We start from the raw sequence: 13501 nt of genomic DNA on the forward strand, positions 1-13501 counted from the left end.
TAGTTTCAGGTCTTAGATGTAAGTCCTTGATCCATCTTGAGTTGATTTTTGTATAAGGTGACTGATGAAGATCCAGATTTATTCTCCTACATGTGGCTTGCCAATTATCCCAGCACCATTTGTTGAATAGGGTGTCCTTTCCCCATTTTATGTTTTTGTTTGCTTTATCAAAGATCAGTTGACTGTAGGTATTTGGGTTTATTTCTGTGTTTTGAAAAAATTACCATTTTTATCTCGCTGCTTGTTATTGGTTTGTTCAGAGTTTCTATTTCTTCCTGGTTTAATCTAGGAGGTTGTATATGTCCAGAAATTTTTCAGTCTCCTCTCAGTTTTCTAGTTCATGCACATAAAGGTATTCATAGTAGCCTTGAATGATCTTTTGTATGTCTGTGGTATTGGTTATAATATCTCCCATTTTGTTTCTAATTGAGCTTACTTGGATCTTCTCTCTTCTTTTCTTGGTGAATCTTGCTAATGGTCTATCAATATTGTTCATCTTTTCAAAGAACAAGCTTTTGTTTTATTTATCTTTTGTATTTTTTGTTTCAATTTTATTTAATTCTGCTCTGTTCTTTGTTATTTCTTTTCTTCCACTGGGTTTGGGTTGGTTTGTTCTTGTTTCTCTATTTCCTTGAGATGTGACCTTAGGTCTATTTGTGCCCCTTTAGACTTTTTGATGTAGGCATTTAATGCTACGAACTTTCCTCTTAACACTGCTTTTGCTGTATCCCTGAGTTTTTGATAGATTGTGTTACTATCATTCAGTTCAAGGAATTTTTAAATTTTCATCTTGATTTCATTGTTGACCCACTGATCATTCACGAGCAGATTATTTAATTTTCATATATTTGCATGGTTTTGAGGGTTTCTTTTGGAATTGATTTCCAATTTTATTCCACTGTGGTCTGACAGTACTTGATACAATTTTGATTTTCTTAAATTTGTTGAGACTTGTTTTGTGGCCTATCATATGGTCTATCTTGAAGAATGTTCCATATGCTGATGAATATAATGTATATTCCTCAGCTGTTGGGTAGAATGTTCTGTAAATATCTGTTGGTCCATTTGTTCTAGGGTATAGTTTAAGTCCATTGTTTCTTTGTTGACTTTCTGTCTTGATGACCTGTCTAGTGCTTTCAATGGAATACTGAAGTCCCCCACTATTATTGTGTTGCTGTGTATCTCATTTCTTAGGTCTAGTAGTAATTGTTTCATAAATTTGTGAGCTCCAGTGTCAGATGGATATGTATTTAGGATTGTGGTATTTTCCTGTTGGATTAGTCCTTTTATCATTATATAATGTCCCTCTTTTTCCTTTAAACTATTGTTGCTTTAAAGCCTGTTTTGTCTGTGTTAGGTTTTAAGTGCAGGCTTTATGTCCAGCATAAGACCTAAAGAGGCAGGAGACCAGCTTAATGTCAGTGCCCGCCCCTGCTTACAGGCTGGGGCCATCTGTAGGCTTGGACAGGAGGGGTTTGGGGAGACATGGCCTGCTGTCTGGGAAAATATTGATAACATGTTCCCAGGATGAGGCATTTCTGACCCTTGTTGTGGTGGAACGTGGTGTTCCTTGTACTTTCTCCCAGCAGAATATGATAAGAGGCAGGCTATTTCTCATGGCCTGAATCCCTGTGGAATATTTCACTTTAAGCACGGTCTGTGAAATGGCGGGGGACTTACAAAATGGTGCAGATTGGACTTTCTTGCCTTCTACTTTAATATAAAAGGAAGAGGGGCGTTGTTGATTATCTGGCTGTTTCCTGTCGAATTAGGGGCACTGTAACCAGGGTTTGGGTTTTGAAGTAGTGGGTGTTCGACTTTAGAGTTGTTTTCCTGGAAGCGCTGATACTGGACTTAGTGGAGGAGAACGACGGTATCAATGTGTTTCTGGATGACTGCCTGGACAAGGGAGTTCAGCTTTTGGGAGACTGACTGGGCTATGAAGGTGAGTATATATGGGCCAATTGTTAGCTAAGAGGAGGAAGATTAAGGGCCCTGAGAAAGAGGTAACCTGCTATCACGGTTCTGAGTGCAGCAGGGATGTTTAGTCTGAAACAAGAAAGGTTCCCTCATACCCCTTGCAGGGTGTGCGATGGGGTTGCAGCTGCTTCTTCAGTGCCCTGCTGCTCAAACCTCTAGGGGAGCATACAGATGGGCAGGCTGTGGGGCTCTGACCCCACGACAGTGTCTAGGGATGAGTGTTTACAGCTGAGGCCCCAGTGGGCGTGTGTTAGTGTGCTCTTTTAGTTTAGGCATTTATAGGCGACTTGTGTTAACCAGCTCAATTAGACTCTTTACCTTGTTGCAAGGACAGAGGGCTTTCTGTATCCTGTGATCCTTGGATCACACATGGGCTTGGAAAATGAATGCAAGGTTTTACTGAGTGGAAGTAGCTCTCAGCAGATGTGGAAACCAGAAGGGAGATGGTTTTCCCCTGGTTCAGGCCGCTTGGCACCCTGCGCTCTCCTCTGACTGCCCCCACCAAACTCCATGTAGTTCTGCTGTTTTGGTGGCCTGCCAGCATGCTATTGCCTGTTGGTGCATTCCTCTCAACGTCCAGCCACCCGTGTGTTCCTCCCCTGATACGTTCCTCCGCTGACATGTTCCTCCGCTGACATGTTCCTCCGCTGATATGTTCCTCCGCTGATATGCTCCTCTCAAGGTCCAGCTGCCTGTGTGTTCTTCCGCTGATCTGCTCCTCTTGACGTGCAGCCGCTGTGTGTCTGCCTGCTAGCGTCCCGGGTTTTTATAGGCACAAGATGGGGGCATGGCAGGCGAGGGTGGTCTTGGGAAATGCAACATTTGGGCAGCAAATGCCTGTCCTCACCTAGCTTTATGGGAGTGGAGCCCTACCGGGGACCATGCCTTCCTCTACCCAGCACGTCCCTTCTCCCCTTCCATATCATTTAAAGGGACCACACTCTTCCCTTCCCAGCACTTACGTATCAGTCCTGCGAACAGGGGATGATGTGTATAGTTAGTCTGGTGTGTGCGGAGGAGGAGGAAATAGAGATTAGGAAAGGAACCTGAATAGTTTGGTTGTTAGGCAAAATGTTAATGTCTGGAGATTGAAACACCAGTGTGTATGTTCCTGACCAACTTGCCTGCAGGCAAAGATAAGAGTTTGTGCTACACAGAAAGAAAACAATAGGGGTGGGCAGACAAAAGTTGTAGGTTATGGTGGCAAGCCATGAGAAGGTGGGGGTTGAATCCTGGATAAAGTTTTTGTTCCAACTTTTTGTTTTTCCAAGTTGAATAGTTGTTGAAGGGGGCCAGCCCCTCCACACTTGTGGCTATTTCTCGTCAGGTGGGATGAGAGACTGAGAAAAGAAATAAGACACAGAGAAAAAGTATAGAGAGAGAAGAGTGGACCCAGGGGACCAGCGCTTAGCATACGAAGGACCAGCGCTGGCACTGGTCTCTGAGTTCCCTCAGTATTTATTGATCACTATCTCTACTATCTCGGTGAGGGGGATGTGGCAGGACTATAGGGTAATGGTGGAGAGAGGGTCAGCAGGGAAACATGTGAGCAAAGGTCTCTGTGTCATAAATAAGGTTAAGGAAAGGAGCTGTGCCTTGATGTGAGAGTAGGCCAGATTTATGTTTGACTTTACACAAGCATCTCAGTGCGGTAAAGAGCAGTATTGCCACCAGCATGTCTCACCTCCAGCCATAAGGCGGTTTTCTCCTATCTCAGTAAATATAATGTATGATCGAGTTTTACACCGAGACATTCCATTCCCAGGGATGAGCAGGAGACAGATGCCTTCCTCTTATCTCAATTGCAAAGAGGCCTTCCTCTTTCACTAATCCTCCTCAGCACAGGCCCTTTATGGGTGCCGGGCTGGGGGATGGTCAGGTCTTTCCCTTCCCATGAGGCCATAGCTCAGGCTGTCTCAGTGGGGAGAATCCTTGGACAATACCCAGGCTTTCTTGGGCAGAGGTCCCTGCGGCCTTCTGCAGTGCACTGTGTCCCTGGGTACTCGAAACTAGAGAATGGTGATGACTTTTACCAAGCATACTGCCTGCAAACACATTTTTAACAAAGGACATCCTGCACAGCCCTAAATCCATTAAACCTGGAGTCAACACAGCACATGTTTCTGTGAGCACAGGGTTGGGGCTAAAGTTACAGATTAACAGCATCTCAAGGCAGAATAATTTTTCTTAGTAGAAAACAAAATGGAGTTTCTTATGTCTTCTTTCTACATAGACACAGTAACAGTCTGATCTCTCTTTCTTTCCCTGACAGTTGTTAGTAAGGGTATCCCCTGTGAAGGCTTGTTGGTCAGGGAGGAGATGAAGGCTGTTTGGTTTTGGAGAGACAGAGAGAGGGAGAGAGAGAAATGGGTTTTTGTAATTAATAGCCATTGTGGTTCTGATAGGGCTGAAGGATATAGGTTGCAGTCGAGAGAATGGATTGGCCGACTAGGTGAGATGTAGGTTTATTTTGGACCGGGTTCGTGTGGTTAGATTAACAGGAAGGGCTGTGAACAGCTGGATTTGTGTGGACAAACAAATCTAACAGTTGGAAAAAAGAGGGGATCGTGACTGATTTAAGAGGTAATGTATGAAGTTGACAAAGGGGGCCCTACTGCCAGAGGCTGGGGGTGGAGACTTAGAGTATCTCACAAAGAAGACAAAAGGAGATTTGAGTGGGAGAGAAATTTTGGAAGATACCCTGCAGCCATAGCTCCTGGATTAGTGTAGGAAATAGGAGTGGTCTATCCAGGGATGTGGGGAAGGAATAACAGGAAAGATCTGAAACAATGTACCAGATAAAAGATTTGAAATTGGAGGAAGAGAGTGTTATGGACCAGGGCCTCCTGGATTGGCAACTTCTGGAATTTTTGTTAAGTGCCGCTAGGTTAGTCCTGTAAGAAAGGAAGAATTTTGGGGTGGGGGGTGTGGGGAGGGAATTTCTGGATGTAAATTTGGTGCTCTTTTTAGTTTGGAATGGTGTATCCCGTGTAGAAAGGATGTTAGCTTTCCCGATGTGGGAGTAATTAGAATAACCTGGTGAGCACCCATCCACTTAGATTGGAGAAGGGAGGAGGAGAAGTCTGTGATCCAGACCCAGTCCACTTGTTGTAGGGACAGGGAGGTGTGTTTTGATGATGGACCTTTAGGCTGGGGCAAGTAAGTGTTTGTGTACTGTCTTATTAGATGTTGAGTGAGGTGTCATGCAGGCCAACTACCCGGTATAGAAGGGGGAGGAGAAACAGGGAGATTCTGGAGGATAAAGGGGCATTGTACATGAGTTTAAATAGGCTTAGGCTGAGGGGATTTTAGGGCATGGCTCATAAACCCATGAGGGCCAATGGGAGAAGTGAAGTTCAGGCCATCTTAACCTCTAGGGACTGTTTGGTTACTTGTTGTTTTAAAAGGGCAATGGCCTGCTTAATTTTACCTGAAGATTGGTGGTGATAAGGAATATGGAATGCCCATTTAATGTTTAGAGTCTTCGCTAGCTATTGGTTAACCTGTGAAACAAATGCTCGCCTGTTGTCTGACTGGATAGAAGAGGGGAGTCCAAATGGGAGGATAATGCGGGTAATACAGAGAATAGAAGTGACAGTGTGTGTGTGGTTTTTTTTTTTTTGATGGTGGTAGGAAAAGTTTCTGTCCATCCAGAGAATGTATCTATTATTGTCAGAAGGTACTGGATTTGTTTTACAGGGGGTCATGTGAGTGAAGTTGATTTGCCAGTCAGTCTTGCCCTGGCAGGTGTCTTCAGGCCTGGTGTGTGGGGAAAGGAGGTGGTTTGATAGCTCCCTGAGGGGAAGTTTGAGTGCAAAGGGAACATGCCTTAGTAATATCTTTGAGATTGGCAGTCATGGCAGGAGAATGTGTATAAGAGTTGGCATAGGGGGCGGTAACCAGTATGAAAATGGTTGTGTACATATGAAAGTACAGAAGGTCCTGGAACTTGGGCAAGACAATTTTATTACTGAGGTAAAACCATCCTCCTTCCTGAATGGCATCAGCCTGGATGAGTGAGGTTTGTTCTTCCTGGGTATATACAGGATGTATGTTGGGAAAAATGGGCAGTAATGATGGGGTTTTAAGGGGTGCCTGCCAGGCTGCTGAATTTGCTAAGAAGTTTTCATTGGTTTTGGCATTTGTAGCCTTTTGGTGTTCCTTGCAATAGATAATGGTGGCCTTTAGTGGTGGTTCAGCCACCTCCAGCAGTTTGTGTATGAGTTTGCCATTTCCTATGGGGATTCCTTTTGTAGTTAGAAAACCCCTTTTCTGCCAGATTAAGACCTGAGAATGTAGGATATGGTATGCATATTTGGAATTGGTGTAAATTGGTTAACCCTTTCCTTTTTCCTTTTGCTAGGATGGGCAACTAGCTCCTCTTGTTGACAGGTAGTTCTGCCTGTTGAGAGGTAGTATGGGGCTGGAGAGCATTGGATTCTAGGAGTTTGTTTTTGGCAATGATGACATAGCCAGCTGCTGGACATGGCTCCCTAAAAGAGCTTCCGTTAATGAACCACGTAGGTGTTCCCTGCAAAAGGGCTTGCAAAATGTGTTGGAAGTGGGAGGAGAGGGAGTCTAAGAGGTCCAGGCAGGAGTGAGAGAGCTCATGTGTTTACAGGGAGGAGGGTGGCCAGGTTAAGAGCTTTAATCTCTGGAGGGTGACTAGAGGGTTACCTATGAATAAGACATATACCTGCTATAAGCAAGATGACAGGAGGGATAGAAGGGATTGATGGCTTATGAGGTCCTGTAGGTTATGGGAAGATGCAATTGTAATGTGTTGGTTAGAGAGTGAGTTTCTGTGCCTCTGGGGCCAGCAATGTGGCCACACCCAATATTTTTAGGCAGAGTTGCCAGCCTTGGATGACAGAGTCCAGTTGTTTTGAGAGGTATGCAATAGTTTGTGGGGTGTTGCTGTATGTTTGGCAGAGTAGTCCAAGAGCAAGGCCTTGGTTAGAATGTACATACAGAGTAAAGGGCTTGGTGGGGTTGGGCAGTCCCAGTGCTGGGGTCATTAAAAGGGCATTTTTTTTTTAAAGTTTTTAAAGTGGTAGTTGATGGGGCAAGCTGAGTTCAGGGGTTCTAGGATGGGCCTTATGAGATACTTCCGGCTGTGAATTCATGTAGAGGAGCTTGGCCAGCAAGCTAAAGTCGGGAATTCACAGTCGGAAGTATCCCACAAGGCCCAAGAAGGAGAGGAAGCCCTTCTTTATGAAGGGAAGGGACATGTCCCTTATTAGCTCCTTTGGTTGATTTGGGACGGCCAAAGAATTAGGGGTTAGAACAATCCCAAGGTAAGTGACCTGGGTTTGGGCTACCTGAGCCTTTGTGGGTGAGACCTGATATCCTCAACTATAGAGGAATTTTAAAAGCTGAGTGGTGTGTTGGATGGACAGGTTAAAGGAGGGGCTACAGAGAAGGAGGTTATTGATGTATTGGAGGAGGGTGTTAGGAGCAAGGGGAAGTTCAGCTAGGTCCTTGGTGAAGGCCTGTTCGAATAGGAGGGGGCTATTCTGGAACCCCTGTGGAAGTCCATATTAGTTGGGTGGATGTGTGAGTATCAGGATCTGACCAAGTGAAAGTAGAAAGACTTTGGGAAGCCAGATCCAAGGGAATAGTAAAAAAGGCATTCTTTGGATCCAATACAGAAAAGTGTGTGGTAGATAGGGGAATATGGGAGACTAGAGTATGTGGGTTGGGGACCACTGGATGGATTGGAACCACTGCCTGGTTGTTAACTCAAAGATCTTGGACCAAGAAGTAAGACCCATCTGGTTTTTTTGACAGCCAGGATAGGAGTGTTGTGGGGAGAATTGACAGGCTTGAGAACTTGAGCTTGTAAAAGTTTACAGATAGTAGGTTTGAGGCCCCTGAGGCTGGCTGGGTTAAGGGGATATTGAGACTGATGAAGGGAAATGGAGGGGTTTTGGAGAGTTATTTTGACTGGGATGTGATGTTTGGCTATTGTGAGTCTAGAAACGTTCCAAACTTCAGGATCAACAGAAAGTAACAAGGTAGATAGTGAGGAAAGGCTGGAGCAGCAAACATTCTGAGTGCATCCCCTAAGAAGGCAGGCCATGGTCACCTGGTGACTGGGAAGACCTCTCACCCAGCGCTGGGATTTTCTGGTGAATTGGAAGAAATAGGGATCTGGAAAGGAGGAAAAAGGAGAGTCACCCACTAATTGGAGACAGGTGTTGGATGTGATGAGAATGAGGGAAGGGGGCTGGGAACAGGGAGTCCACTCAGGATCTGGAAGCAGGTCTGGTTCTAGTTTTTTCTGCTTGCTGCTTTCCAGATTGTAAGAGAAGACTTACCCATTTAGAACCCAATCCCCATTCCAGGTTTTGGCACCCAAAATGTTAGATTTTGAAGCGAAGGCAAGGGTTAAAGAAAGGTACAGAAAGAGAGGGAGAGAGGGCAGCTTAACAGCAAATCCAGGCTTTATGTCCAGCATAAGACCTATAGAGATGGGAGACCAACTTAATCCAAGTTCCCACCACTACTTACAGGCTGGGGCAATTGATAGGCCTGGGTGGGAGGGGAGTTGCGGGGCATGGCCTGCTGCCTGGGAAAATGTTGATAACGTGTTCCCAGGATGAGAGTTTTGGCCCTTTTCCGGCAGAATGTGGTGTTCCTTGCATTTTCTCCCAGCAGAATATAAGAGACAGGCTATTTCTCACAGCCTGAACCTCTTTGGAATGTTTCACTTTGACGAAGGTCTGCAAAATAGTGGGCATCTTACAAAATGGTGCAGTTTGGGCTAACAATCTGATATAAGAATAGCTATTCCTGCTTGCTTTTGGTGTCCATCTTCATGGAATATCTTTTTCCACCCCTATACCTTAAGTTTAAGTGAGTCCTTATGTGATAGATGAGTTTCTTGAAGACAGCAGATACTTGATTGGTGAATTCTTATCTATTCCACCATTCTGTATCTTTTAAGTAGAGCATATAGGTCATTTAAACATTCAATGTGAGTATTGAAATGTGAGGTATTATTCAGTTTGTTGTGCTAGATGTTGCCTGAACACCTTGTTTTTATTTTGTTTTTTTATTTCATTGTGTTACTGTTTTATAGGTCCTGTGGGATTTATGCTTTAAGAAGGTTCTATTTTGGTGTATTTCAAGGTTTTGTTTGAAGATTTAGAACTCCTCTTTAGTAGTTCTTGTAGTGCTGGCTTGGTAATGGCAAATTCTCTCAGCATTTGTTTGTCTGAAAAGGACTTTATCTTTCTTTCATTTCTGAAGCTTAGTTTTGCTAGATACGAGATTCTTGGTTGATAATTGTTTTGTTTAAAGAGACTAAAGATACAACCCCAATCCCTTCTAGCTTGTAGGGTTTCTGCTGAGAAATCTGCTGTTAATCTGATAGGTTTTCCTTTATAGGTTACCTGATACCTTTGCTTCACAGCTCTTAAGATTATTTCCTTTGTCTTGATTTTAGATAACCTGATAATTATATGTCTAGGTGATGATCTTTTTGTGATGAATTTCCTGGGTGTTCTTTGAGCTTTTTGTATGTGGAAGTCTAGATCTCTAGCAAGGCCAGAAAAATTTTCCTCAATTGTTTCCTCAAATAAGTTTTCCAAACTTTTAGATTTCTTCTTTGGGAACACCAATTATTCATTCTTAGGTTTGGTCATTTAACATAATTTCAAACTTTTTGGAGGCTTTGTTCATTTTTTAAAAATTCTTTTTTCTTTTCTCTTTGTCAGATTGGGTTAATTAGAAAGCCTTGTTTTCAAGCTCTGAAAATATTTCTTCTATTGCTTTCTTCTATTGTTGAAACTTTCAAGTGTATTTTGCATTTCTGTAAGTGTGTCTTTTATTTCCTGAAGTTGCAATTGTTTTTTTATTTATGCTTTCTATTTCTCTAGAGACTTCTTTGTCCATATCCTGTATTATTTTTTAAATTTCTTTCTTTTTTTTGTTTGAGACAGAGTTTGCTCTTGTTGCCCAGGCTGGAGTTCAATGGCATGATCTCGACTCACTGCAACCTCTGCCTCCTGGGTTCAAGTGATTTTCCTGCCTCAGCCTCTGGAGTAGCTGGGATTACAGGCCTGTGCCACCACACCTGGCCAATTTTGTATTTTTAGTAGAGACAGGGTTTCTCCATGTTGGTCACGCTGGTCTCGAACTCCCGACCTCAGCTGACCTGCCCACCTCAGCCTCCCAAACTGCTGGGATTACAGGCACGAGCCACCACACCTGGCCTTTTAAAAATTTCTTTAAGTTGGTTTTCACCTTTCTCTGGTGCCTCCTTGAGTAGCTGAATAATTGACCTTCTGAATTCTTTCTCTGGCAATTCAGAGATTTCTTCTTGGTTTGGATTTATTGGTGGTGAGCTAGTGTGATCTTATGGGGGTGTTAAAGAACCTTGCTCTGTCATATTACCAGAATTGATTTTCTCGTTCCTTCTCATTTGGGGTAGACTATGTCAGAGGAAAGATCTGGGGTTCAAGCGTTGCTGTTCAGATTCTTTTGTTCCATGGGGTGATCCCTTGATGTGGTGCTCTCCCCCTTCCTTTAGGGATGGGGCTTCCTGACAGCGGGACTACAGTGATCATTATTGTTCTTCTGGGTCTAGCCATCCAGCAGAGCTCCTGGGCTGTGGGCTGGTACTGGGGAACGCCTTCAAAGAGTCCTGTGATGTGATCCATCTTCAGGTCTCTCAGCCATGAATACCAGCACCTGCTTCAGTGGAGATAGCAAGGAAGTGAAGAGGACTCTGTGAGGGTCCTTGGTTGTAGTTTTATTTGGTGTGCTGGTTTTCTTGAATGCTGGTTGTGCTAGCAGTGAAATTGTCACATGGACAGACTCAGGACCTCTAGTTGGCCAGGATGTTACAGGCAGTGGAATTAGCTGTTATTTTCTCCTTTCTTGGAGCAGGGTTGTTCTGTTATGAGTTGCTATAATGGCTTGCATTGGCTGGCCTCCAGCTAGGGGCTGGTGCTTTCAAGAGACCATCAGCTGTGGTAGTATGGGGGAATACAAGTTTGCCCTAAGGTTGCCTAAGTAAGTATTCAGGTTTTTCAGGCAATGGGCGGGATCATAGAGCTCCCAAGAGATTATGTTTTTTGTCTTTGGCTACCAGGGCTGGTAGAGATGGACCATCTGGTGGGAGCAGGGTTAGGCATGTCTGAGCTCAGACTCTCCTTGGGTGGGGCTTGCTGCAATGGCTGTGGGGGATAGGGATGTGGTTCTCAGGCCAATGACATTAGGTTCCCAGGGGGATTATGCATGCTTTTGCTGTGTCATGCAGGTCACCAGGGAAGTAGGGGGAAGCTGGCAGTGACAGGCTTCACCCAGTTCCCATGCAGCCAGCAAGACTAGTCTCATTCCCACTGTGCTCCACCACCAGCACTGAGTTCATATCCAGGCAGCTGGTGAGTAGGGCTGAGATTTTGCCCCAGGTTACAAGCCTCCCTGTTGAGAAAGCAAGCAGGGCTTTTAGGCCCTGCCCTTCCCTGACTGCGGTGGATTCTGTGGTCATATCTGCACATCCTGTTCCCTGCCACCACCACCCCCCAAAAAAAATCTGCCCAGGAAAGTTCACAGCTAGTCAAAATTATTATAAGATTTAACTGGAAGTTTCCTTCTCCCTGTGATCTTTCCCCAATTACACTAGCAGCCCTCCCCAAGGACCCCTGTGAGACAACGTCAGAAATGGCTTTCCTGGGGATCAGGAATGCCCACAGGACTCTTCCTGCTGCTTCTTCTACTTTATATTTTGCTCTGCTCTCTAAATTCATTTCAGCTCTAGGTAAGGTTAAATCCTTCTGTAATCCCAGCACTTTGAGAGGCCAAGGCAGGAGGATTGCTTGAGTCCAGGAGTTTGAGATAACAACATAACAAGACCCCATCTCTACAAGAAATAAATTAACTGGGCATGGTGGTAAATGCCTGTAGTCCCTGATGCTCAGGAGACTGAGGGAGGAGGATCACTTGTGCCCAGGAGTTTGAAGTTGCAGTAGACTATGATTGGACACTGCACTCTGGCATGGGTGACAGATTGAGACCCTGTCTCAAAAAAAGAAAAAAAGGATAAGTAATAATAGTGGGCAACTAAGTGGCCTAGACTGTAGAAGTTTTGGCAGTAACAGCAGTCCTGTGGTTGTTGATGTCCTCAGCGTCAAGGGCTTTTGGAGTCCTCCTATTCTCATTTTCCCCACAATGGGGGTAACAGCTGAGGGTATTCCTCTTGGCATCAGATCTGACATTGTCTACACTCAGTTGTGGTGGTGTGGGTTCCAGGTGTAGGTGCTTGGAGAGGCTGTGGGACTGGGTTCCTAAGCTCAGTTAGGGTCTTGTGAACCTATTGTGGCACCTGAGTCTCGAGTTACAGGTTCACTGTCTGTGGATGTAGGTTGTCCATCGAGCAAGAATCTGTGACTGAGGCATTCCCCAGCATCTTGTGACCGGAGGCCTGAATTGTAGCTGTGATTTTGCTCCAGAGGAGAGGGCTTCTCTGAGAAATTCCTCAATGAAATTGTTTATCTTATAATGAGGGTCAACTATGGCCAAAGCATGGACATTAATGTCTTTTGGAGGGCAGAATCACTGATTCTAGCCTCTGAGCAGTGGAAGGTGTCAATAAACTTGTTTCCTCAGGGTTTCTTCAAGCTTCCAAAAGCAATGTTATATCTGGCCCAGTAATGTTCATAGAGGACAAAACAAGGATTAAATAGACAGGAATTACACTTGGAGAACTATTCCACAATTCAGCTCTACATTGTTGCAAAGAATCAATGTCAGTAAAACTTTACAAATTGCTGCTGAGGAATGGAATAATTAAAAAATACTGGATTTAACACCAACTCTCCTTATTGCAATTTACTTAGTCTGATTCTACTAGCTCTTCTTTTGTTGTAAACATTTCCTATAAATAGGAAATATCATTTGAGAAAGTGAGGGGAAGTGGAGAGAGAGAGAGAGAGAGAAGCCATTTTTTGTGTGCCATGTCTTATAAGAACTTTACATACTGACTGTGTATCTGTGTATATTCCATTCTGTACAGTTTTTAGGTAGTTCAAGAATTGCAGGCTTTTAATCAGATCACAAAAAGAATAGACCTTCAGCATTAGCTTGGTCAGGTTTCTTAAACTTAGGTTTATAATGTAACCGTCTGTAATATATCTCTCATTTGACCCTGTGGGCCATAAAATAAAATTTATAAACTAGATATTGTGGAATGCATTCTCACCACCAAACTATTCACAAAGAACCACAATGGACTGGTATGGGTTTTGTTTTGAGTCTTCTTTCTACTCTTGTATTCAAAATATTCTGCCCTTAAAGATTTTGTTCAAAATAGACAAGAATATCATTAAACAAACAAACACACAAACAAAAAACTGTCCTTCCTACACTGTTCAATGTGTTCCTTTGTTATTTAGAAAGTTTATTTTGCTTTACTATACCCTTTGCTATAGTATAGTAAAGCTATACTATATGTCCTTTGCTATACCCAGGCACTGTAATCTTTCACCTGGTTTCTTTAACTTTTGTGAAGGTA

The 13501-nt window shown here is 43.8% G+C and overlaps 1 protein-coding gene and 1 pseudogene across 16 annotated transcripts in view; both read left to right on the top strand.

Annotated features, from left to right (window-relative positions):
• Positions 1-1643: 1643 nt before the first annotated feature.
• PLA2G5 (phospholipase A2 group V) overlaps positions 1644-13501 on the top strand; it is a 63504-nt gene continuing 51646 nt past the window's right edge. For all 16 annotated transcript variants that reach the window (XM_047422608.1, XM_047422616.1, XM_047422645.1 and 13 more), the window contains exon 1: positions 1644-1945. The gene's annotated coding sequence lies outside the window, so the exon portion shown is untranslated. The remainder of the gene's footprint in view (positions 1946-13501) is intronic.
• Positions 12166-12680, top strand: LOC100419911 (prenylcysteine oxidase 1 pseudogene; annotated as a pseudogene).

This window comes from Homo sapiens, chromosome 1 (genome assembly GCF_000001405.40).
Source record: "Homo sapiens chromosome 1, GRCh38.p14 Primary Assembly".
Lineage (NCBI taxonomy): Eukaryota > Metazoa > Chordata > Mammalia > Primates > Hominidae > Homo > Homo sapiens.